Source organism: Homo sapiens, chromosome 1, assembly GCF_000001405.40.
Source record: "Homo sapiens chromosome 1, GRCh38.p14 Primary Assembly".
Taxonomy (NCBI): Eukaryota; Metazoa; Chordata; class Mammalia; order Primates; family Hominidae; genus Homo; species Homo sapiens.
This window is the reverse complement of record NC_000001.11, coordinates 180,896,112-180,920,579: the sequence shown is the minus strand read 5'-3', so window position 1 is coordinate 180,920,579 and position 24,468 is coordinate 180,896,112. Positions and strand designations below refer to the sequence as shown.

General features: G+C 51.1%; 1 protein-coding gene and 1 long non-coding RNA gene across 3 annotated transcripts in view, besides 4 other annotated features; both read right to left on the bottom strand.

The window, feature by feature from the left end:
• KIAA1614 overlaps positions 1-7,683 on the bottom strand; it is a 38,718-nt gene extending 31,035 nt beyond the window's left edge. For both annotated transcript variants that reach the window (NM_020950.2, NM_001427641.1), the window contains exons 1-3: positions 7,287-7,683; positions 3,480-4,426; positions 2,666-2,729 (exon numbers count right to left, since the gene is read on the bottom strand). In NM_020950.2, coding sequence (NP_066001.1) covers positions 2,666-2,729; positions 3,480-4,426; positions 7,287-7,336 — 1,061 coding nt within the window. In that variant the 5' untranslated portion in view covers positions 7,337-7,683. The remainder of the gene's footprint in view (positions 1-2,665; positions 2,730-3,479; positions 4,427-7,286) is intronic.
• Positions 1,721-1,800: an enhancer, noted in NCBI's record as "active region_2165". NCBI's record gives its function as "activates an Ori minimal core promoter by ATAC-STARR-seq in GM12878 lymphoblastoid cells {active_cell/tissue: GM12878}" and the evidence as "EXISTENCE:reporter gene assay evidence [ECO:0000049][PMID:35858748]".
• LINC02816 (long intergenic non-protein coding RNA 2816) lies at positions 6,524-13,988 on the bottom strand. Its single transcript, NR_185877.1, has 4 exons — positions 13,850-13,988; positions 12,289-12,377; positions 11,809-11,888; positions 6,524-11,707 (listed from the first exon to the last, which is right to left on the bottom strand). It is a non-coding gene; the product is annotated as a long intergenic non-protein coding RNA 2816 (long non-coding RNA).
• Positions 7,588-7,887: a silencer, noted in NCBI's record as "silent region_1596". NCBI's record gives its function as "represses an Ori minimal core promoter by ATAC-STARR-seq in GM12878 lymphoblastoid cells {active_cell/tissue: GM12878}" and the evidence as "EXISTENCE:reporter gene assay evidence [ECO:0000049][PMID:35858748]".
• Positions 20,844-21,672: an enhancer, noted in NCBI's record as "H3K4me1 hESC enhancer chr1:180868044-180868872 (GRCh37/hg19 assembly coordinates)". NCBI's record gives its function as "activates a minimal SCP1, AML or CMV promoter by ChIP-STARR-seq in naive H9 embryonic stem cells {active_cell/tissue: H9 hESC(naive)}" and the evidence as "EXISTENCE:reporter gene assay evidence [ECO:0000049][PMID:30033119]".
• Positions 22,346-22,738: a silencer, noted in NCBI's record as "fragment chr1:180866978-180867370 (GRCh37/hg19 assembly coordinates)". NCBI's record gives its function as "represses an EF-1alpha promoter that drives an FKBP-Casp9 reporter gene in an ReSE screen in HepG2 liver carcinoma cells {active_cell/tissue: HepG2}" and the evidence as "EXISTENCE:reporter gene assay evidence [ECO:0000049][PMID:32094911]".

Sequence of the window (24,468 nt, the reverse complement as noted above, 5' to 3'; positions counted from 1 at the left end):
ATTTGATTGCAACACTTGACTGAATGTGAAGCAGCACCTTAAACCCTCAGAAGATCCAAGGGGCTCATGACCTCATGAGTGAGGTCCTGCGCTTTCCTCCTGCCAGAGCACGTCCTGACTGATGTCCTGGGGCCCCCTTCGGGGTGGCCATCAAATGGTCTGCCACAGCCTCAGCATTCTCTCCCCAAAGTCCTAAGCCCCTTAGAACAGACACTAAGCCCCAGGACCCTGGCTTCGAGTGGCACTCCCGGGGCATAGAGCCGAGGGAAGCATGCCTTACTCCAGAGGTCTCTTGGGAAGTTCATTGATACAGAAGTAACATCAATCACTCCATCCTGCTCCGGGGAGAGAGGGAGCCCTGCAGGGTCTTGGGGACCACCTTTAATGTCTGCCCAGGAGACTCGGGGATAGAGCCAGACAGGGAACCCTATCTGAGGGGCTTCAAGACATGGCCCTATAGCCTGGGCGTCTACTCAGCAGGGACCTCACTGCAGAGCGCCAAGCGAGGCCAGCAGGGTACTTGGAATGACTCCCAAACAATGCGTGTTTCCCCACAACACTCTTTGCCCTGATCGCCAGGCACTCTAAGGGGACATTTTGTTAACAGTCTTTGAACAGAGTCCTAAAACTCACTAAGAGACCTTCTCTCTCTCTCCACACACCCAGGCACACACCATACAGTACACAGGTACGCACACCCTGCCTGAACTCTGAAATGCAGCCCATGGATGCTGGGGGCCTGGCAGGTTAAACAATGGCCCAGAAACCCCAGTCCTGAGGATTCTACACAAATACCATCTCCTCACAGCACTAAGGGAAAGCCCCTCCTTCCCCCATGGTTGAGGTCTCCTCCTTGAAAATGAGGGGGCCTTATTCCTTAGTATCCAACGGGCTGTCAGGAGCTTTGGCTTCTCCTTTCAGCAGTGGCCACTGAGCAGAATCCCCAGTGGCTGCATCTCCCCACTGGGCCCTTCCCTCATCGAGGGAGGAAGTGTGCAGGGGGTGGGGGCAGCTGCAGGCAGAGGCGGCACCACCTCTGCAGAAGAGGGCATCTGCCCCAGCCCTCTCCTCCAGGGCTCCGCACAGAAAGAGGGAAAAAGACAGAAGGCAACTTGAACAGGGCGCAGACAGGGGAGCAGAGCCGGCTGAGGCCCACAGGCCTTTCTGTAGTCACGCTCCTCAACACTGTGGCAGGGCCAGCTGGGGACCAGAGGAGGGTCTGGAAACAGCGGCCAGGGAGGTAGGGGAAGAGATTCCTGGCAGAAGGGGAGGCAACTGTGATTCCAAATCATAAATAGCAAAGGATGAAGGAGCCAGACATCCCCCTCTCCATCAGGCCCTTAGGCAAGCAGAAGCCCAATCACATGAACCTGGGCTGCCCTCGCTTGGTTAAGGCAGGTGCGGGGGTGGAGGACTACGGTGGACTCAGTGTTTGTGTCTCCCCAAGATTCCTAGGTTGAAACCATATCCCCAGTGTGAGGGTGTCAGGAGGTGGAGCTTTGGGAGGTAAGTAGGTCATGGGGCATGGCCCTCATGAATGGGATTAGTGCCCTTCTAAGAGGCCCCAGAGGGCTGCCTTGCCCTTTCCTCCACCTGAGGGCACAGCAAGAAGGCACCATCTATGAATCAACCAAGAGCAGCCCTCACCAGATGCTGAATCTGCTTGTGCCTTGATCCTGGACCTCACAGCCCCCAGAACTGTGAGCAATAAATTTCTGTTAGTAAGCCACCCAGCCTCTATAGGCTTTTTGTTATAGCAGCCCAAATAGACTAAGACAGAGGTCTGTCCACGTTTTCTGGAGGTGGTTCTAACTGAGTGGGATTTGTGCAGGAGCCGCCTTACACCGGAGCAGCAACCGTGTCGACCTCTGCCCTCCGCAGAAACCACAAGGCCTCGCAGGGGCTGACAACACCAGACAGCTGGGGAAACGAGAGCTCCAGGACCTCTCAGCCTTGTGGACCAGGAGCCTCGCAAAGACTGAGGCTGGGTTCAACCTCTGTGCAGGTGCCAGCTGCAGTCAGGCCTGCCGATGGCCCCACTCCCACCTTGAGTGTACTTTTCTCACTCTGCCTGGCTCAGGACACTGCCATGAAGGACAGGCAGCCCCAATTCCCCCGCTACACCTTGGTGGGTCCAGCTTCCCCAAAATATTTGGTGGAGGGGCTGGAGCGAAGGCCGTGGGATAGCATGGTAAGGTTGGAGGTGAAATCTTTGACATGATCCCAGCACAACCTCTTGACTGGGAACGGAATTGGGGTAAGGCTTTGTACATTTTCCCCAGTGATTTTCACAACGATGATCTCACTTCGGCCTCACAATGGTCCTGTGAAGTGAACCAGACAGATGCTATTTCCCCAACTTTAAAGATAAAGAGGCCTGGGCAAGGGAAATGGCTCCATGGACATGGAGCAGGTAGTTAGCAATGCGCTTTGTTCCCTGGTGGTTTTGCTCAAGTAGCAGGGAGGCACCAGCCTGGGGGATGTGGCGGTGGGGGTTACTGGCAATTTCTGCAGGGTCTCAGGGATGATGACGTCCACTGGTCTGCTGGTGCAGGAGTCTGCCTGCCCTCTCACTTTGGGAGGTCTCTTACTGTCCTGATGCTGAGTAAATAGAGGGACCATGGTGAGGAGGGAGGGAGAGAAAATGTGGGCTCTGAGCTCTTACCTGTTCTGGCCGGAGTCCTGCAAGGAGGTGCCCGAGGCCCAGTCCACATCCCCCACTGGTCGCTCTAGGATCCAGAACAGAAGCAGAGATCAGGACAGAGCCAGAAACAGGGCTCTCAGCTGCCACTTAGTGAACACTGAGGAGAAGAGTTTCTCCAGAAGCAACTTACTCCCCAGATAAATCTAACACTTTGCCTGAAAATTGGAGGCTGAGCCTGTCACGATGACTGCTGTGGGCACAGCCATATGCTGAGAGGACCACATGCCTGGGCTCAGGCATGCGGTGATGAATGAGCTTGTGAGATTTTGGAATGAGAAGGCGGGAGGGGAAAGAGGCTGTCCTCTAGGGTTTGGACACTTGTACATCCCATTGGTGCTACCGTCTGAGCTCAGCCCAGCTGCTAGAACGCCCAGCCTCCTTTTAGGAAGGGATTCCTGTCTGCTTGCCCCACCAGAGGGCCCTCACTAAGGGGTGAGGGCATGTCACTTGAGGGAGAGGCAAAAAGCCACTCCGGAAAGGAATCCAAGCCGCAAAGAAGACATCATAGTGGCCTCTAACCCCAAGCACGCAGGGTGGCCTCCTATTGGTCTGCAGGGTCATGGGGGGCTTCGGCAGACAGGCTGCCTGTGAGGCTGCAAAGAATCTGTCACAGCCAAGGACAAGAGGCCATCCTGATGATTTTGATGACAGGCAACTGTCAGGCTCTCCCTCCTTTCCTGCCCCACTCCCTCTGTGGGACCCCCTCGTCCCCTTTTCCTCCCTCTGGATTCCCTCCTGCTCCCCCCACCACCTGGACCTACACAGTGAGCTTCACCTGGTGCAGCTGTGTCCCAGGATGGAGTCCAGGCAGGGGTTCCCACCTTGCGGGGGCTCTGCCCAGAAACGTTGAGCATCTCCTGCAGCAACAGGCGGTTTCTCTCCACCCGATCAGACAGGGACAAGACACTGCTCCCAGCGCCCAGAGCCTCCAGGTCTCCAGCTCTCCAGCGCTCACCCAGCAGGGCCGTCCTGGGGACAAAGACCTCCTCGGAGGTCAGGGATGTGCTATCCAGATCTGCCTCTGTCACCACGCCATCTGGAAAAGGGTAGGACCTTCCTGTCCTTGGGCTGGGAATGTGGATGATTTTGTTACAATGACCAGGACCCCCAGGCCGTCCGGGAGTAACTCCATGGATCGGGCTCTGTTGCAAAGAGCTGGGCCCCAGCAGCGGACCTCTGTCATGGTCAGGAAGTGTCCATTCGGCTTCTGGAGGCCACGGGCTCCCCCTGTTGCAGTACTCACGTCCAGGGGCAGGCGGCCTGGGAAGCCTGGGGCCTCCATCCCTGGCGGGTTGCTCCTCATTGATGCTGCCGTCCAGCTGCCCATCAGGCAGGTTTTGGGTACGAGGAGCCACCACAGCACCTGGCAGGAAAGACCCCTCTGATGGAGTCCCGGCTCTCCCTGCCTTGCCTCGTCTGCATTGGGGTTTCTTGGGGGATGACCACTCTTGGGAAGCAGAGCAGGGACTCACTCCCTGTTTGGCCACTGTCATCTTCTCCTTCAAAGCCCTCACCTTGGATTCCAGCACAGAGGGGCCCTGGAGCTGTACTCCCCATACCCTGGGAGGCTGGGGGGCCATCAGGCTGGATGTTCTGTTTTCCTGAGGGCAAGGCCAGGGTCTTGGGGGGTGTCCGTTATCCAGCTGTGGCTCAGGACCACTCCACTCCACAGCTGAGGTCCCCTCCACGGGGCTGGCTGTTCCACTCCCTGTCTTGGGCCCTCTGGAGGAGAAAACAGACAGAGTTCCTAAGACCCAGCACAGGACTAACCCCCACAACCTCCCGGGGCCCCAAAGTGTCTTGGCGTTGAGTCCTGTCCAGATGAAAGTAACCTGGAGACAGAGCAGGGGATGCTCTCTTGATCAGTGGTCTCCAACCTTTTTGGCACCAGAGGGACTGGTTTCATGAAAGACAGTTTTTCCATGGATCGGGGGCGGGGTGCGGTGGAATGGTTTTGGGATGAAACTGTTCCACTTCACATCATGAGGCATTAGATTCTCATAAGGAGCTTGCACCCTAGCTCCCTCACATGCGCAGTTCACAATAAAATTTGTGCTCCTATGAAAATCTAATGCCACTGCTGGTCTGACAGGAGGCAGAGCTCAGGTGGTAATGCTCACTTGCTCGCTGCCACTCACCTCCTGCTGTGCGGCCTGGTTCCTAACAGGCCACAGACTGCTATGGGCTGTGGACCGCTATTGGTTCGTGGCCCCGGGGGTTGGGGAGCCCTGCTATAGATAACGTGAAAGCACTTTTAAAAAAATGCAAGTCATTGAAGAGTGCAAATAAGTTATTGTTGAATTTTTTCTTCCAAGTCTCAGTAGTGTTCTAGTTTTTCTATCCCCATTTTATAGACGGGCAAAATGAAGCTTCAGAGGACAACTAATCCTATGCCAAATGTGGACCAGAGTGAAAACCAGGGTGATTTCCCAATCCCTGGCCTCTTACTTTGCTGAAGGGTAGCTTCAGTGGAGGATGCCCGCATCTGCTAACAGGCAACATGCTCTTCCCTCTCCAAGGGGAGCCAATGAGGATGATAGACATCAGGAAGACACCAAGCAGGATCTGACCTCCAGTAGAAGGTGCTGCATCCAACCTCACCCCTGACCCCTGATGCACAAGCCACAGGACCACAGCATGGGGTTGAGCTCAAAGGGAGACCTTGACCAGTCAGGAACGCCGATTAGGCATCTGCTCTATGCCAGGCGGGACTGCAAGTGCTTTCAAACACACTCCCCCCAATAATCCTGTCCCTAACACAATGGCATTATTGACCAGGAGCGGTGGCTCACACCTGTAATCCCAGCATTTTGGGAGGCTGAGGCGGGTGGATCACTTGAGGTCAGGAGCTCGAGACCAGCCTGGCCAACATGGTGAAACCCCCTCCTCCATTAAAAATACAAAAAATTGGCTAGGCGCGGTGGCTCACACCTGTAATCCCAGCACTTTGGGAGGCCGAGGCGGGTGGATCCTGAGGTCAGGAGTGCTGCTCACCTGTAGTCCCAGCTACTCAGGAGGCTGAGGCAAGGTAATTGCTTGAACTCGGGAGGCAGAGGTTGCAGTGAGCCAAGATTGCACCACTGCACTCCAGCCTGGGCGACAGAGCAAGACTCTGTCTCAAAAATAAAAAAAATAAATAAAAATAAAAAATACAAAAAATTAGCTGGGTGTGGTGGCAGGTGCCTGTAGTCCCAGCTACTTGGGAGGCAGAGGCAGGAGAATCACTTGAACCCAGAAGGCGGAGGTTACAGTGAGGCGAGATCCCGCCACTGCACTCCAGCCTGGGCGATAGAGCGAGACTCTGTCTCAAAAAAAAGAAAAGAAAAGAAAAGAAAGAATGGCTTTATTATATACTTCTACAGATGGAGAAACTGAGGCACAGATTACAATACACAGGTGCTAAGAGGAGGCCCAGTTTGGAAACCAAAGCTTCTCATTCCAAGCCCAGGCCTTTTCCAAAACATGTAGTGATCACTTAACCCTACTCCCCTTATTCTGTAAATGATAATGTTCCATCCCCAGAGGCTAGGTGGCTTGTCAGCGCTGCACAGATCCTTAGCAGCATGGCTGATGTTTATCCCTTCACAAGGAATGAAGGTGAGCAGGGGTTTGACTCAGGGTGTTGCATGCATATCTACATGCCACAGCGTTTTAATATTGATTCTACCTTCTGAGAAAAATACAACTTTAATATCACACATCTAGATGTCCCCCCCCCCTTGAAGTAAACTTTGTGCATAAAAATCCTTATGTGTATACACTACAAATTAGGAGTTATCCACTTCGTAACACGGACCAAGTATTCACCATAAAATTCTCTTAAATGGCAAGTCTCTCTGTAGTCGTTTATTACAATTCAATTTATACACAAGCTTTCAGGAATGCACATATTTTATAAAGCAAAATACACATATAATGCGAAATGTCACACCAGTTTTAAGCCAGTAAAGTTTAAGGATTATCTTTAGGAGGACAGAAATAATTTGTTCTATGAGTTAATCTAGAATGCAGCAAGTTTCTCTTTGCATCTCCTTCTTCTCCTCTAAAGTCCAATCCAGAAAACAGGGGATTAGAATGTAATATGAGCAATTTCTGTTAAGTTAAAATAACTTTTTGTTTTTGGGGAGGCTGAAGCCAGAGGAGGCCGGGCTTGAGCCCGGGAGGTCGAGGTTGCAGTGAGCCATGATCGCACCACTGCACTCCAGCCTGGGCGACAGAGCGAGACCCTGGCTCCAAAAAATTAAAGTAAGAATTGTTGATGGGTAAACTCTGGAACAGCACGCCAGAGACCTTAAAGAATGAGACCCTCCCACTGGAGTCCCCTGGGCACGGGCTTTCGGGAAGATCGGTCAGCTCGGAGCTGCCTGGTTCTATGGCCCAAGCACTGTGATGTATTTCCCCTAACTCAGAGGGGCCAAACGAAGATGGACGTGAAGGGCGGGCCTCCCCACGACCCTTCCAGCTCCGAGCCCGTGGGAGGCCCGCTTCCCAGTGGCCGGGGCGACCTGGGCTCCCCGCTCCTCCGCCCCGCCGGTCCGCCACCCCCGCCCGGCCGGCCCGGCGCTGCCTCCTCTATACTCACTGGGGGCTGCCGCCCGCGGGTTTGGCCGCCGCCGCCTCTGTCCCCTCCATCCCTCGGAGAGGCCAGGCCCTCTCCAGCCCCTTCTCCCTCCCAGGCCAGCTGCTGGGTTCGGGGAGGGACTTCCAGCCCCGAATCCGGGGCCGGAGGGAGTGCGGCCCGCAGGCCTCGCCCCTCGGGGCGCGGCCGACTGGGGGTCCGGGACGGCGCCGAGGCCGGGCCAGCTCCCGGCTCTGCTGGCAGCCCCCGGGCCCCGGGTGGGTCTGGCCGGCGCAGCGCCCCACGGGCCGCACTCCCTCCCGGCGAGAGGACGGGAAGCGGGGTCGGGCAGGGAGGGCGCTGGCAGGGAAGGAAGTGGCATCAGCTGTCCGTTCACGGCTTTGCCGTGGAGGGGAAGAGCGGCCAAGCCCGCGCCTTCCCGGCCCGCGCTGGGCAGAGGGAGCCGAGCGCGGAGAGGTGGGGCCGCGGGAGGGGCTGGAGGAGCCGGGCCTCGGCCTCCCACCCCGCCCGGAGCCCCGCGGGGCCGCCTCTCCTGAGCCGCGGCCCAGGGAGCGAGTGTCCCCGGCCGTCAGAGGCGCGGGATGGAAGTCCAGGGCGGCCCCGAGCTTGGGGACGACGGGGCGGCCGCCAGCCTCGCAGGGCGGTGGCCCCTTCCCCGCGGGAAAGCGGGCGCAAGAGCGGAGGCGCGCGGGGCGCACGGAGGCCGGGGAGCGCGGGCAGGAGCTGGGGGCGCACCACGTTCTCGGCGGGCTCCGCGCGCCGCTGGTAACCCTACACCCAGGGCTCGCCTTTCGGGGTGGAAGCTGAGGAATGCCTTTTGTGTGGACAAGTTTTCCAGAGGAGCCGGCCGCCCTCTCTGTGGGGCCGTCCATCGCTCCGTAGAGCCGTTTCCTCCGAGGTCAAGGTCGTTGGTTCCCGCTCTCCAGAGGCGTGAGGGAAACCCGGAGGGAACGCGCTCCGCGCATCCCGTCTGCCGCGGTGCCGGAATTGCCCGCCGCCGCCTTGGGTGGGGACCGGTTCTCAGGGTCCTGGGGGCTCTCGAGCAGATCACTTTCCCCAGCGCGGGACGGGGGTCGCAACCAGGGGCATTCCCTGCAGCCGCGGCCCAAACCGACGGAGCTTGCTTTCTCCTTCCACCCAGAGGGGGTGACCGAGCCTCACCTATTTCCAAGCCTATTTTTTCACAAAGACGGGAAGCAATAAAAGTGGCCTCAGGAGATTCCGGAAATCTCTACAAAGAGAAAGTGCCCGTTCATCTTTCCTTCAGCCGACTGGCTTCACTGTGAAGCATGGGGTAGTTGTGCACCTCCAGATGACAGGACAGACACAGCAACAGTAAGGGCCGCGCAATATGTACCGGGGCAGGGGAGGAGGGGAAGGAAGTTTTCTAGAGGGGCTGCCTCTTGAGTCAGGAGGGGGTTACTCTGCACAAGGTGGGGGAAGGGGCGTCTGGCAGGGCAACAGGAGAGCGGAGCCTGGGGAGCTGTGAGTGGACTGGCGTCTTGGCAATCTAGGAGCTTGAGAGATTATCCAGTGCAAACCCTCTGTGTCACAGTACAGGCCCAAGGTTACGTCAGAGGCTTCGAACCAGAGCGACTCCATCTTGTGTGAGGGCGAGGAAAATGAGGCTGGGACTTGCTGGGCCACATTCCCAGTGAGTTAGCTATACCCAGCTTCTAGATATTTACGGTTAAGAGAACAAATTAATAACGTTTGCTAAACAGACCCAGACTTAGGAGTGTCCTGATATCCTGATATCTTGAGAACAGACTCATTTGTAATTATGCTTTAAAGTTAATAATATCGATTATTGCAAAATATAGTAACTAAGAAAATTAATCCTTTATCACAAACCCTTGTAGCACAGCACATCTCCCCATGATCCTTTTTTATCCTGTGTAAGCGAGTATTGTACCCAGGGTGGATGCGTTCCTCCTCGTACTTTCCAGAACTCCCTCCTCTGTCTATGGAGTAGCTGTACTTTCACCACTTTACTTTCTTACTAAACTTGCTTTTGCTTTGCACTGTGAACGCACCTTGCTTTTTTTTTTTTTTTTTTTTTTTTGAGACAGAGTCTTGCTCTGTTGCCCAGGCTGGAGGGCAGTGGGGCGATGGATTCTCCCACCTCAGCCTCCTGAGTAGCTGGGGCTATAGACATGCACCACCACGCCTGGCTACTTTTTGTATTTTTAGTAGAGATGGGGTTTCACCATGTTGCCCAGGATGGTCTCGAACTCCTGGCCTCAAGTGATCCACCTGCCTCGGCCTCCCAAAGTTTGGGATTACAGGCATGAGCCACCACGCCCAGCCTTGCCCTGAATTCTTTCTTGCGAGAGATGCAAGAACCCTTTCTTGTGGTCTGGATTGGGACACCTCTCCTGTAGCAGTTACACAGCTCTGGTGACAGGTGGTCTCCAGGGTCCTGGGTGGCCTCTTCCCTCCCCGAAACTCACCATGTTCCCAGAACAAGAAGTTCCTTTAACAAAGCATTGACTGCTTTTGCTTTTTAGTATTGATCGCTTCACAGAGTGGTGCCTGCACTATTTGCAGTGGGCATACTGGCACCAGGCATTGGCTAAGCAGTTTAAATTCATTATCTCGTATTTCAGCCTTAAGAAGTAGGCAGTGGCTATTGTCTCCTTTTCTTTTTTTTTTTTTTTTTTTTTTTTTGAGACGGAGTCTCGCTCTTTCACCCAGGCTGGAGTGCTGTGGCGCTATCTCGGCTCACTGCAAGCTCCGCCTCCCAGGTTCACGCCATTCTCCTGCCTCGGCCTCCCAAGTAGCTGGGAATACAGGTGCCCACCACCGTGCCTGGCTAATTTTTTGTATTTTTAGTATAGATGGGGTTTCACCGTGTTAGCCTTGATGGCATCGATCTCCTGACCTCATGATCTGCCCGCCTGGGCCTCCCAAAGTGCTGGGATTACAAGTGTGAGCCACCACGCCTGGCCTATTGTCTCCTTTCTATAGACACTGAGTGTAAGTGAACGCCCCAGGATCCACAGCTGGGTAAGCTGTAGTCCAGCCTCCTAGAGTCCAGGCCCTCATGCCAGTACACTGCACAGTGCTGTCGCCAGCATCTGCCTGTTCAACATGGAAAGATTTAGTTTAAAAAAAAATCAAAAGATTTGTGAAAAAAATCATGAAGTGCTGTGATACTGAAAATGTGCTGGCACAGTGGCTTGGCCCTTCCTGGCTTTCTTATTCCTGCCGTCTAAGTTAAAAGCCCCTCAAGACTCCTTCTTCTCCTGCATGCCCAGTGTTAAGCCTGACAGCAGCAACACTGTTACTATTATTGGGGGCATCCTATGAGCTAAGGTACCCCACATAGGATCTTTTGCATCTTTACAACAACCATGCAAAATAGGTATAGTGTATCTCCACTTTAGTGATAAAGAAATCGAGCTGCAGAGAGGTTAAGTAGCTTGCCCAAGGCCACACAGCTAGTATAGCTAGAATCTGAACCCAGCTCTGTCTGGTTCCAAGATTTTCTGCCTTGCTTCCTCTTTTATAGAGGCACCTCTGAATTCAGACTCCACGGCTTCTGCTCCCACCCTCCCCCAGAAGTTAATGATCTATAAGGAAAGTTTCTGAAAGTTCCAGCAAAGGTTTAATGTTTAAAGAAAACCTGCCTCCCCCCAATCTTTTGAGATGCAAATAATCACTTTCAGTTTATTTGGGTTAAAGTTTTTTTTGTTTTTTTGTTTTTTGTGCGAGGGGAGTAGGGTGTTACATCTATATTGAGGCCTTAAAAGCCACCTGTCCTAAAGATACCCATGAGCACGAGCAAACCCTTAGAATGCTGTTGAATTGTGACATCTACATGTCGAGGGCATTCTTGTTCATCTGGATTCTGTTTGATTTAGCAGATATATGTTGAGCTCCTAGATATGTCAGAGACTGCAGAGACAAAATTTAGCACCACAGACCCTACTTTTGAGGAACTGGGGAGTTGGGGAGGGGCAGGCACACAAACTTTCTATATATGTGCTCCCAACCAGGTCAGCATAAGGTGGTGTAGGTTGCTCACAGAAAAGGCTAGATTGAGGGGTGTGTGTTGGGTGAGAAGGGGTACCACGGAGAACTGGGTCTTGGAGAATGAGCAGGAATTAGCCAGACAGAGGGGGAGGGGTGAGAGAAGACGTTTCAGGTAAAGAGATGAGCATAGATGCAGGCTCGGAGGTGTGAAACTGCCTGGTTTCAGTGTTACTAAGTGTAAAATTTAACCCAGGAAAGACAGGGGAAGGATGAGGTTGCAGAGCAGGGGAGGTTGGGTCTGGTGAGGAGCTTGGACCCCACCCTGTGACTGGCAGCCCCTCGGGTGTGGTCTTGACCAACACCTTAGCCCTTGAGCTGGGCACATAACCATCTTATTTATTTCCTTATGCGTCAGACACTTTCATTATCATCTTCTGGAGGGAGTTCTAGGAGGAAAACAAATACAATGTAAACAGTGATCACAAAGCCCCTTCCTCTGCTGAACAACTAGGGAAATGGACCATCCCAAGAAGCCCCTTTGACTTACTGTGAGTGAAAACACAAGCCTCATCCTTCCTCCCAACTTTCCAATGTGCTCTGAACGTTGGAAATACGGCGCCATGTGAGCTGTGGAAACCAGGTTTCACTCAGGATGAAGGGAAAAGTGAGGGAGATGGTCCTTCCAACTCACACCATTAGAGCAAAGTGGGGCAGAAATGGGGTGGGGGCACACTTCTACCATCCCTCGACTGTCCAGCCTAAAGGAGCTTGTCCAAATGGAAACCTGCATTTCCTGGTGGCTCCTGTCTTGCTCATGGGAACATGGTCCAAGGAGGCAACTGATCTGAGCAGCAACTGCTGAGGATCCCATTGCCAGCCCCAGGCCTGCCCTCATCACTTCCTCCAGCAGAGGAGCGAGGGCGCGTGCAGGGTCTACCATGTAGCTGCTTCCCCCCTCCCAAAACCCTCCCGCGGCTCCCCTGTACTCCCCACCGCGCTGCTGGGAAGGCTGATTCTGAGGCCTCACCTATGCAGATTCGGGTTCCTTAGGTTGGAGCAAGGCCCAGGAACCTGTTTCCTTCCAGGATTCCCAGGTGATGTTGAGGCCCGGTCAGTCTGGGGAAGCACAGGGCCTCGAGTTAAAACTCAAAAGCCTTTGCATGGCACATGGGTCACTCCAGCCTCATCTCTCATCCCAGCCCCGAGAGCCTGCCCTGCTTCCTCAACATATTGAGTTGCTTCTAGTTCCCTGACTGGTGGCACCGAGTCCTGTCTCCTTGCCTTTGCCCAGGCATTCCTTCAGCCTGAAGTACCTGCTTCACTCCACACACACACATCCTGCTGTGGACTGAACTGTGGCCCCCTCCAAATTCTTATGTTGATGCCCTAACCCCTCCGTGGGATAGTATTAGGAGGCGGGGCCTTTGGGAGGTGATTAGGGTTAGAGGAGGTCATGACGGTGAGGCCCCCAGGATGGGATTAGCATCCTGACAAAAAGAGACCCCAGAGAGCTCTCTCCCTGTGCACCCTCACCACCATGTGAGGATATAATGAGAAGGCAGCTGTCTGCAGGCCAGGAGGGGAGCCCTCACCAGCACTCCACCGAGCTGGCATGTGACCCCCGACATTTGCCTCCAGAACCGTGGAAATAATTTCCTGTGTTTTAAGCCACCCAGTCTATGGCGTTTTGTTATGGCAGCCCGAGCAGACTGACATCCCCATCCCAACTTGGCTGTCTCCTCCTAGACCTTCCACACTCAGCTCACATGTCACCTCCTCAGGGAAGCCTTCCCCCACTCCCTCCACAGCCCTCACCTGTCAGATCACCTGCTTCTATCAGAGCACTTGTCCACAGTTGTGCACATCTAAGCCTGTGTGTCTCCCACTTCACAGAGACTTCTTTCAAGCAGCACCGTGTCTGATCCTTCCTGTGTCCCTGGCCCCTAAGAGGTGCCCACCACAAAAAAGGTGTGGACCAAATGCCAGGTGATTAAATAAAAGAAAAAATCCCTATCAGATAGCGATGCCTGAGAGAGAGAGGGACCACAGCTTGCTAAGAGAATCAAGGTCCTCTCCGAAGGATTTGGTTCGTCCACTCAGTATGGCCAGTCCTGCCCCAGGCCCTGCGAGAAAGTCAGCCTTTGGCAGGGCCGGGAGCTGTGCCCAGGCTTCCTGACTGAGCCCTGCTTACGTCTGATGCCCAGGCCTCCTTGCCCGTGGCCCCCTTCCCTCTTTTCTCTTCCCCAAAATGCCATCCATCACCGACAGAAGCATTGGCCTTACACTTCAATTCTAAGTGAGCCTGGAAATTTGGAAATAAAATGCCTATCAGAAGAAGAAATGGATGGGGGTGGGGGAGAAGAGAAGGTAATGAGAGAAAAGTGCAAAAACAGGCTGGGAGAGAACACTAGGAGAGATGCTGTCAGAGGACAGTTGGGCACCTCCAGACTGCAGCCGCCGGTCTTCCTGTCACGCCTCTCTGCATGCTGCAGCACACACGGGCACACACACTCGCACACATCAGCTCTGGGCACTGCACCACCCTGAATCTACAGATGCCCAAAGGAGAAGAGACGTGTGGCTCTTACCTGGTCGGGGTCAGCCCACGCCACTCCCCCAGGCTGGCAGGCAGGAAGCCCACTGGGATGGGACCAGGACCCTGGCCAGGGATTTTAACTGCAGACTTCACTGTCTCTGCCCGCTCACTCTGCATCAACTCTTGACTCTGCCAGGCATCTGTTTTCATGCCTGACTCCAGTTGCAGCTTTTCATTTCATAATCCTAATCACAGGGAAATGACTGGGATTAGGGATTTTTTTTTTTTTTTCTGAGACAGAGTCTTGCTCTGTAGCCCAGAGCTGGAGTACAATGGCGTGATCTCGGCTCACTGCAACTTCCGCCTCCTGGGTTCAAGCAATTCTCCTGCCTCAGCTTCCTGAGTACCTAGGACTACAGGTGTGTACAACCACGCCTGGCTAATTTTTGTATTTTTAGTAGAGACGGGGTTTCACCGTGTTGGCCAGGCTGGTCTCGAACTCCTGAGCTCATGATCGGCCCACCTCGGCCTCTCAAAGTGCTGGAATTACAGGCGTGAGCCACTGTGTCCAGCCGGGAAATACTTTAATACTCTCCCTCCTAGTCTACCATGCTTGCTCTGCAGGGGGCCATCATCAGTATGAGGGAGGTCACCCGGCTTTAACCTGTCTGTCAACAGTCACTGTCAGCTTGGCCAAGTCAATTTTCTCAGCTACAAATGAAAAGAGACTCAGGGAGAAAGATCTTGGAGGATGACTAAGACCTGAAGTCATGTTTGTGACCATTTTCAATCTTGAGAAAAACAGAAAATGTCTATATTATATTAATGATTGGCTTGAGAGACTATGAAAACATATATTAGCATGATTCTCACCTCAATAGTTCAATAAAAAATTATGATCATTTCAATGGAAGCTAAAAAAAGTATTTGACAAAATTCAACACTGTACCTAGAAGTAGAAGCTTTCCTTAATATAATAAAAATATTATATCTCAAAGCCAACATTTAACAGCCAACATAGTTACAGCCTAGTGAAACTTCAGCACAGTCCCACCAAAGTTAGGAACAAAACTGGAATGCTTCGCATCACCATATTAATTTAACAATGGGATTCTGAAATGTATAATTATTAAAAGGGAGTTGCCAAAATCATTATACTTTGTAGATGATATTATTGTTTACGATGAAAAACCCAAGTAAATTGTACTCAAATTGGACACAAGATAAATGTTCAAATCTAGTTTACCAGGCCAGGTGTGGTGGCTCATACTTGTAATCCTGGCACTTTGGGAGGCCGAGGTGGGAGGATCACTTGAGGCCAGTAGTTTAAGACTAGCCTGGTCAATATAGTGAGACCCTGTTTCTACAAAAAAATAAAAAATGAAAAAAGTTCTAGTTTTCCTAAATACCAGCATTAATCAAATAGAAGACAGAACTGAAAGAACAAAAAACCTCAGCCAGAAAAATAATAGCCCATTTAGAAAAAACCTTCACACTAAAGACATTTACAAGCATGTTAATAGCAACATTGTTTATAATACAAAATAATTGAAAACAACTCAAATAGCCATTGATGGTAGAAAGGATAATTGTGGCATATTTGTAAAATGGAATATTACATAGCAATGAAAATATAGCTACAGGCCAGGTGTGGTGGCTCACATCTATAATCCCAGCACTTTGGGAGGCCGAGGTGGGTGGATCATGAGGTCAGGAGTTCGAGACCAGCCTGGCCAACATGGTGAAACCCCGTCTCTACTAAAAATACAAAAATTAGCTGGGCATGGTGGCGGGTGCCTGTAATCCCAGCTACTCGGGAGGCTGAGGCAGAATTGCTTGAGCCTGGAAGGCAGAGGTTGCCGTGAGCTGAGATCGTGCCACTGCCTGTCAGCCTGGGTGAAAGAGCAAGACTCTATCTCAAAAAAAAAAATTAAATAAATAAAATAAAATATAGCTACAGGGAAAATATCAGTGATTATCACTAACATGTTGAACAAGCAAAGCGAGTCAAAAAGAAACACAAAATTAAAAGATGCATTATTTTGGGACACATACATTTGGAGTGAAACTGCAATAAAAAGCAACAGAATTATTAACACAGACAGTAGTGCCCTACTGAAGGCGGGAAGATAAAAGGGGGATAGAAATTGGGTAGAAGGACATGGAGGGGTCCAAAGGCAAAGGCAATGCCTTCCTATGTTGGGTGATGACTGTGTGGGTGTTCATGTTATTCTTCTTAACATTGTGAGAGATATATATTGATAAATATATGTACAGGATAAATATCTTATATGTATACATAACAGATCATAATTTTTTAGAATGTGGAAATCACATGAAAAATCTTTACCATGTATGTTAGTCCATTCTCACACTGCTAATAAAGACATACCTGAGACTGGGTCATTTATAAAGAAAAGAGGCTTAATTGACTCACAGTTTCACATGGCTGGGAAGGCCTCAGGAAACTTATAATCATGGCAGAAGGGGAAGCAAACACATCCTTCTTCACATGGCAGCAGGAGAGAGAATGAGAACCCCTTATAAAACCATCAGATCACGTGAGAACTCATTCACTATCATGAGAACAGTATGGGGGAAACCACCCGCATGATTCAATTATCTCCATTTGTCCCATCTTTGACACATGGGGATTATTACAATTCAAGGTGAGACTTGGGTGGGGACACAGCCAAACCATATCACCATGTATATGAAAGAAAATCTGGGTAAATGGAGAAATATTTATTCAGTGCTCCTGGATATTTATTAGATATTACAAAGGTGAAATTTTCCCCCAAATTAATTAAAAAATTTAGTGCAATTTCAGTCAAGATCCCATAAATAGGCCAGGCCATGGTGGCTTATGCCTGTAATCCCAGCACTTTGGGAGGCCAAAGCAAGCAGATCACCTGAGGTCAGGAGTTTGACATCAGTCTGACCAACATGGCAAAACTCCATCTCTACTAAAAATACAAAAATTAGCCGGGTGTGCTGATGTGCACCTGTAATCCCAGCTACTCAGGAGGCTGAGGCCGGAGAATCGCTTGAACCCAGGGGGGCGGAGTTTGCAGCAAGCTGAGATCACTCCACTGCACTCCAACCTGGGCAACAGAGTGAGACTCCATCTCAAAAAAAAAAAAAATCCCGTAAATCGGCAAAAATATTTCATAACAGTTTTGCAAAAGAAATATGGAAGGGGACTTATTCTATAAAATATAAAATTGTATCATAAGGTTATAGTAATTAAAATAGAAACTAATACAAAAATAAACAACCAGAGTAATGTCACATAATAGAGAGTATAAAAACAGACCCTAACTTTTCTTCATCTGATAAAGGGTAGCTATTAAAAAGCCTATAGCTAACATGATATTCAGTGGTGAAATATTGGACACTGATATGGTTTGGCTGTGTCCCCACCCAAATCTCATCTTGAATTGTAGCTCTCATAATTCCCACGTGTCTTGGGAGGGACCTGGTGGGAGGTAATTGAATCACTGGGGTGGGTCTTTTCTCATGACAGTGAATGTCTCATGAGATCTGATGGTTTTATAAAGAGGAGTTCCCCTGCACACATTCTCTCTTATCTGCCAGTATGTAAGACATAGCTTTTGCCTTCCACCACGATTGTGAGGCCTCCCCAGTCACGTGGAACTGTGAGTCCATTAAACCTCTTTTTCTTTATAAGTTACCCAGTCTCAGGTATGTCTTTATCAGCAGCATGAAAACTGACTAATAGAGACACTTTCCCCAAGTTCAGGAACAGGGAAAGGATGTTCAGTGTGCCACTTCTACTCAGCGTTGTCACAGAAGTTCTAACCAGTGCAATAAAGCTAGAAAAAGTGGGGGAAAGTATAAAAAATGGAAGAAAAAAGTGTTATTATTTGCAGATTGCATGATTTTGGATGTAGGAAAATCCAAAAACATCTCCACACTCTCAAAATTAAGAACTAAATTGAGCAGGGATCTGGATACAAAGTCAGTATATAAAAAGAAGCCGAAAAATCAAGATGCTGGCAGGGCCATGCTTCCTCTGAAGGCCCCAGGGAAGGATCTGTTCCAGGGCTCCGTGCTAAGAGCTGGCTTTGCTTGGTTTGTGGAAGTGTGACTCCAGCCTTCACATGGCATTCTCTCTGTAGTGTCTGCGTTCAATTGCCCTCATTTTATAAGGACACCAGTAGTATTGGACTAGGGGCCCACCCCACTATATTCATCTTAATTTTTTGCATCTCTAATGATCCTATTTCCAAATAATGTCATTTTGAGACACTGAGGACTTCAACATGAATTTTGGAGGGACACAATTCAACCCATAACAGGATTAAATGCATTCCGATAAAAAATTACAACAGATTTGTTTTTGTTTTTGTTTTTGTTTTGAGACAGGTCTCACTTGGTCACCCAGGCTGGAGTGCCCTGGTGCAGTCATGGCTCACTATAGCCTCAACCGCGTGGCCTCAGTCTATCCTCCCACCTCAGCCACTTGAGTAGCTGGGACTACAGGCGCATGCCACCACACCCAGATAATTTTTTTGTATTTTTTGTAGACGTAGGGTTTATTCCATGTTGCCCAAGACTGGTCTTAAGCTCCTGGGCTCAAGCAATCCTCCCACCTCGGCCTCCTAAAGTGCTGGGATTACAGGTGTGAGCCACTGCACCTGGCCAAGGAGCGTCTTCTGAACCCAAGAGCTCCACGCTGTCCATCCTCGTGTGTGAAGACTCGTACTTTGTCACCTTGGGCTGCCATCCCTGCTGAGCTGCAGCCTAGACCCCAACCATATTCATTCAACAGGTATTTATAAAGTTCCTACTATGTGCTGTGTAACTGAGTATCTCTATTTGTTTGGGCACTTCAATTTTGACATGTTGGGAACTGAACGGGTCACCTTTCCCTTCTCTGAATCCTCTCCCAGTGAATGGTACCATCAACCACCCATGCCAGCAACTTGAGTGATTCCCTCTCCTTCAGCCTCCACAGTGACACCGCCCAAGTCCCAGCTCTTGGAGCCACCTCTCCACTGCCTCTACCTCAGTTCCGAGCCCAGGATCCTCCACCACAGAACAGAACCACCTACTACCTGGCCTCCCTGCCTTCAGGGTGCCCTGCCTCCTTCTCTTACAGCTGGCGAAATAACCTTTCTAAAACCCAAAGGTGATCGTGCCTTCCCAGCTTGTAGCCCTTGTGATCACTGAAATGTGGTTCACAGCTTTGGCTCAGGGCATTGAGCCCTTCTCAATCCACCTCCTCCCACATTCTGTATATACCTCACGCTTCCTTTTCATCCCCCACCCTGCTTGCAGTTCCATGAACACATGTGCAGCCCGTACCTGGATGGTTCCCTCCTTCCCCACCTGGGGGGCGCTTCGGATCACCCCCAGCCAGAGTGAAGTACCCATTTCTGATGTTCCAACAGCACTCACTGCCTGCAACTCCTGACGGGTGGGTTTCTTTGTCTCTTTCATGAGTCCATAAGCTCTTTTCATTGGTTACAGCCTTGAGCTTTTGGAATTGGGCCAACACTGCCTACACCACTTAGCCTGATTCACAAGGCAACGCTAAGAGTTGATTTTATCATCCCTATTTTATAGATGGGTAAACTGGGGCTTAGAGAGGCCAACTATTTTGCCCAAGGTCCCCCAGTTGTAAGTGGCGGTCCCAGGATTCAAAGGCTGGTCATGTGTCTCGGAAGGCTATCTCTAGCTAGACAGGGATCTTGTCAATGGGGTGATGTGACCAACCAGCTTCTATTTGAAGAGAGCCTGTTTGTTCATGTGGCCCATGTATTTTTTTTTTTTTTTTGAGACAGGGTCTAGCTCTGTCTCAAAAGTGCAGTGGTGCAATTCTCATGCCTCAGCCTCCTGAGTAGCTGGGATTACAGGTGCATGTCACTACCGCCCGGCTAATTTTTGTATTTTTAGTAGAGACGGGGTTTCACCACGTTGGCCAGGCTGGTCTTGAACTCCTGACCTCAAGTGATCCGCCCACCTTGGCCTCCCAAAATGCTGGGATTACAGGTGTGAGCCACTGTGCCTGGCCTCATGTATTCTTATTTCACCTGTCCCTTCTTTGTTGGTGAGACCTGAAATAGGCCCTCCATCAGCCCAAGTGTTTCCCTCCTTACCTTCAGGAACCAAAGGAATCCTAAGCTCAAGTAAGCTATGTCCCTCACCACTTTTCCTTACCCTACGGTCTCCAAGAGGTCCCAGATTGGCTGGGGACTAATTTGGTTGAGGGTCTAGCTCAGGTCTGGGTATGAACATGATCAAGTGGGATGAGGGTGATCAGCACAGTAGAAATGCACTTTGCTTGCTGAAGAAACTGTCAGAGGAGGTTTTCCACTCAGGACTAATGTGCTGAGATTTTGGGTTGTGGCACTTCTCCCCACATAGCACCCTCCATGTCCACAGGGACAGCAGTGAAAACACTGCCATCCGCCTCTGTCCCCGCGTTGTGAAGGGCAGATACCAGCATATGTTAGAACAGCACTAAATCACCTCCCAACAACCCCCAAGTCAGAGTTCACAGAGGAAGAAGCCAAGACCCAGGAGATCCGGGAATTCACCTCCAGTCACCAGGCTGGAGGGCGACCCTCCCCCACCATCCGACTCAGGCCTGGAAATCACATTTCCAGCTCTGCTATAACGGGTGAGCCTTCCAGAGAGTCCTGCACGCTGCTCCACCAGACCACTGCTCTCAGCTGGGCACCCCCAAAGAATGCTTCACTCTCAAATCAGAACCCACCTGCTAATTAATGTTCAAAGGGAAACAGAGCCAGTGCTGGAGGTGGTGACCACCAGCAGGGAGGACAGCTGCTTGCTGTGCCCTCTCACACTCTAGGGGCAGGCGGAAAGGAGGAAGGTCTGGCTTAGTCAACGGAGTTCCTAAGCTGGCCAACCCGTGCCATTCAGTGTTTGGGGAGAGGGGGGTCTCCTAAGTGGCAGAAGCTGCTTTAGGTGGAAGGAGAGGCAGGGCATCTTAGCTGAATGGAGGCAGCGCAATGGCACCAGAGAGCCCCAACTCTGCTTTTTTCAATCTTTTCTTTGTCCTTCCTCTGTGCTGGCTCAGGGAGGCCTCTTTGGAGATGGAGCCCAGTCCCATCTCTCTTGCTGTGGACAGCCCCTTGAACACTGCCTCAAACAAGTGGGAGGTCAGCTTCTGGCTGGGGGTGCTGTGTGTCAAGCTCTGAAGAGCAGTCAGGTCCTCTCTTCCTCTTGGGGACTTTGTCCCTGCCACAGTGGGGACAGACACCATGGAGGCTCACCAGCATCTGCAGGCCAGATGGCCTCCAACAAGCCCAGGCTGTGGGACATGAGCTTGGGGGAGCGCCTTCCGGAAGAGGCCCTGTCTGCAGTGTCGGGGGTGGGGGCTGTGCTTGTGTGTGTGCGGAAGCTGCCCTCTGGGCTTTTCTGCTGCAGACTGGCTCCCTCTTGGAAGCCCTGTGGCCCCAGGCTGTGCAGCCATGTCCGTGGGGACTCCTGCCTCCTCGCTCCCTCCTGCGTCCACCAGCCTGGGGGATTCTGCTGAAGACACAGATGAACCTCAGAAGCAGTCTCTATCCGAGCAGAATCTGCTCCATTTCTGTGGCCCACTGGAAAGTTTTTTCCTGGGTTAAATCAAGGTGTGTGGTGGGTGAAGGATGGAGGGAAAGACCCAAGTCTGAACAGTCCAGGCTGAGACTCCACCGTCTGGCTTCAGCCCTGGCTGGGCCACATCCAGCTGTGGGACCAAGTGCTGGTCATTCCACTTCCATGGAATTCTGTTTCCTCATCTGGACATGGTGGCTGGGACAAACATTTCCAAACCATGTTCCTCTTGTTCATAGCTTTCCTATGAAAAAGAGCATTCAGGTCCAATAAGTGTGGAGATAATGGAGCCACCTCACCCTCCTGTCAGAGACTTGGGACCAAAGGCATTTTAAAGGCTCTGGGAAGGCCTGAAGTAAAAACAAAACAAAAACTAAACTCAACCAGTTTACCTTTGTTTAACTCTGTCTTTCTCATAAGTAAATGACCACAGAAGCCTTTTCCCTCAAAATAGCAATTAGCATCCCAGGAAACACCCTTGGGACAGCCTAGACCAGATAACCTCTCAGGCTCTGTCTGCCACGTTACTCCACACTCTAGCTGCAGGGAGCTGAGGCAGCTGCTGGCCAGCGATTCCCAAGATCCTGGGGGAAGGGCCAGGCGGCGCCCAGAGAAGGCTCCCTCAGGGAATGGTGGCAGCTGATTGCAGCTTTCTTATTTTTATTTTTTGGAAACAATAGTGCTCTGAGGAGTTAGGGACCAAAAAGGGGGAGATTTAAAAAATCTGTTTCCACTCTGATTCTTTGTCAATTTAAGCTAACTCATGTCAAAACAGCTTGGTTTGCCCATCTGTGAAAAGGGAGAACCATGGAGATTTGGTGGGCACTCAAAGGTAACCCTCAGAAAGAAATTCCCACCCCAGGGTCCCTGGATGCCTAATGGGAAGAAGGGCAGAAGCGATTTCCAACATTTAAAGAAGTCTAATGGAAATTATATGTTTGCCATGAGAAATGTCTTTGCTTCTGACTGGCGTTGTATCAACTCAGTTTGATAACATTGGTTGTCATGGGGACAAGAATTATTATGCAATAAATATGGCTGGCTAATTAGACAAAATCTTTAAAAACATAGGGTTCAGGGAAGTGATAAAAGGGTCAGTTGGCAATGAAATGGTAAGGAGCTGTTGACTCAGGAAATCAGCTGCAAAACCAGTTTAAAAGTGTCATGGTTCCGGGCGCGGTGGCTCATGCCTGTAATCCCAGCACTTTGGGAGGCTGAGGCAGGCAGATCACGATGTCGGAAGATCAAGACCATCCTGGCTAACATGGTGAAACCCCATCTCTATTAAAAAAATACAAAAAAAATTAGCCAGGCGTGGTGGTGGGCGCGTGTGGTCCCAGCTACTTGGGAGGCTGAGGCAGAATGGCATGAACTCGGGAGGCAGAGCTTGCAGTGAGCCTAGATCGCACCACTGCACTCCAGCCTGGGAGACAGAGCAAGACTCCGTCTCAAAAAAAAAAAAAAAAAAAAAAAAAAAAAGGGGCATGGAGGGGTGAAGGGGCCGGAAGGAGGTGAGGGTCTGCTGAGGCAGCTGCTCTCCCAAGGAGCCCCTGGGGACGACGGGGGTTGCATGCAGAGTGGGTGTTTAATGTCTTAAGTGGCTGCAACATAGTGGTTCTTGTCACAGCATATTAGGGAAGGGTGTCCACGAGCTGAGACGGGGTGCTGGGTGCCACCTTTACTGTGCCGAGCAGAGCAGAGCCCTGGGGGGCCAGTGGGCTCAGGGATCCCCAATGTGTCTTCCACAAATTGCTTAGAAGCCTTCCCGAGTGACACACACTGAGGGTTTTTCAAGCTCTTCAGAGCTCTGGTTTTATATTGTATGTGTAACGCCCTGCCCCACTGGGCCCACAACCCTCATTCAGCAGCTGCATCTGAAAGGTTCATGGGTGTTCACTTTTCTCTCCAATATGCTGTTCACACAGAATCACCTCTCCAATCCATTTCTGTCCCTTAGACCTCTCCACCAATGCCCCATTCCACTGTGGTAGCAGCCGTGGGAGCTGGGCCCAGGAGACTTGTCTCTGTCTCCTAGGAGAGCAGCGGTGACGATTATGGCTGCTAGATCCTTACAAATCACCAAAAAGGTAGCCTCTTTCCTTTTCATTTCTTTCCCTCCCTTCCTCCCCCCTCCCTCCCTCCCTCCTTCCTTCCTTTCCTTTCCTTTCCTTCCTTTCCTTTCTCCCTCCCTCCCTCTCTTCCTTCATTCCTTCTTCCCATGTGTCCTTAGGGGACAGTAGCATGTATGAGTCTTTGATCCAATGCATTACTGAATCCTGGAGGATGTCACCCATGCTCACGGAGTATTGCCTTTGATCTGGCACTTTAGCTATGTCTTCAGCATACCATTCCAATGCTCATTCAGGTTGGCAGCTTCTAGGTGATGCATTATGCGCTACCATTAATGAATCCCATGGTCTTGGGTTCTCTCCCACTCCTCCTTTGCTGTGAAGTTGATCCTCTGGTCTAAGGTGATATATGGAATCTCACGCTAGCGGATCAAACACTCTCTGAGCCTTTGGATGGTGGTGCTAGTTGAGACTCTATGGTTAGGAAAGGGAAACCCATACCCTCCATATGTGCCTATTCCTGTAAGAACAAACTACTGGGCCTTCCAGGACGGAAAAGCCCCATTTTGCCAACTTGCCATCAAGTAGCTGGTTTTCTTGAGGAATGGGTGCCATATTGGGGACTCAGTGTTGGTCTCTGTTGCAGGTAGTTTGGGCCTTGAAGCAGCAGACAAATTATCTTGATTGAGACTCCATGCTGTTGGCCCATACAAGAAGAGCCTCCATCTCTGCCACTTTGTTCATGTTGCCATCATGCCAACACTGGCGAGCCTGGCTGGCTGAAGTTGGTGGGCTGAGTCACCCGACTGCCTGGCTGTTTAGTTGTCAATGGTGGATGCTCTTTGGTGGTTGTTAACATGTGATACAAAGATTTGCCCGCTCCCTTAGGTCCATTCATGTGCCTCTGCCCCAGCCTCCTTATCCCTGATCTGTTTTTTCTGACCATCTGGGCCAGGCCATTTTCCACTATATATTCTAACCTTAGATCACTTCTCTTTCCCACACTAAGTGGGTG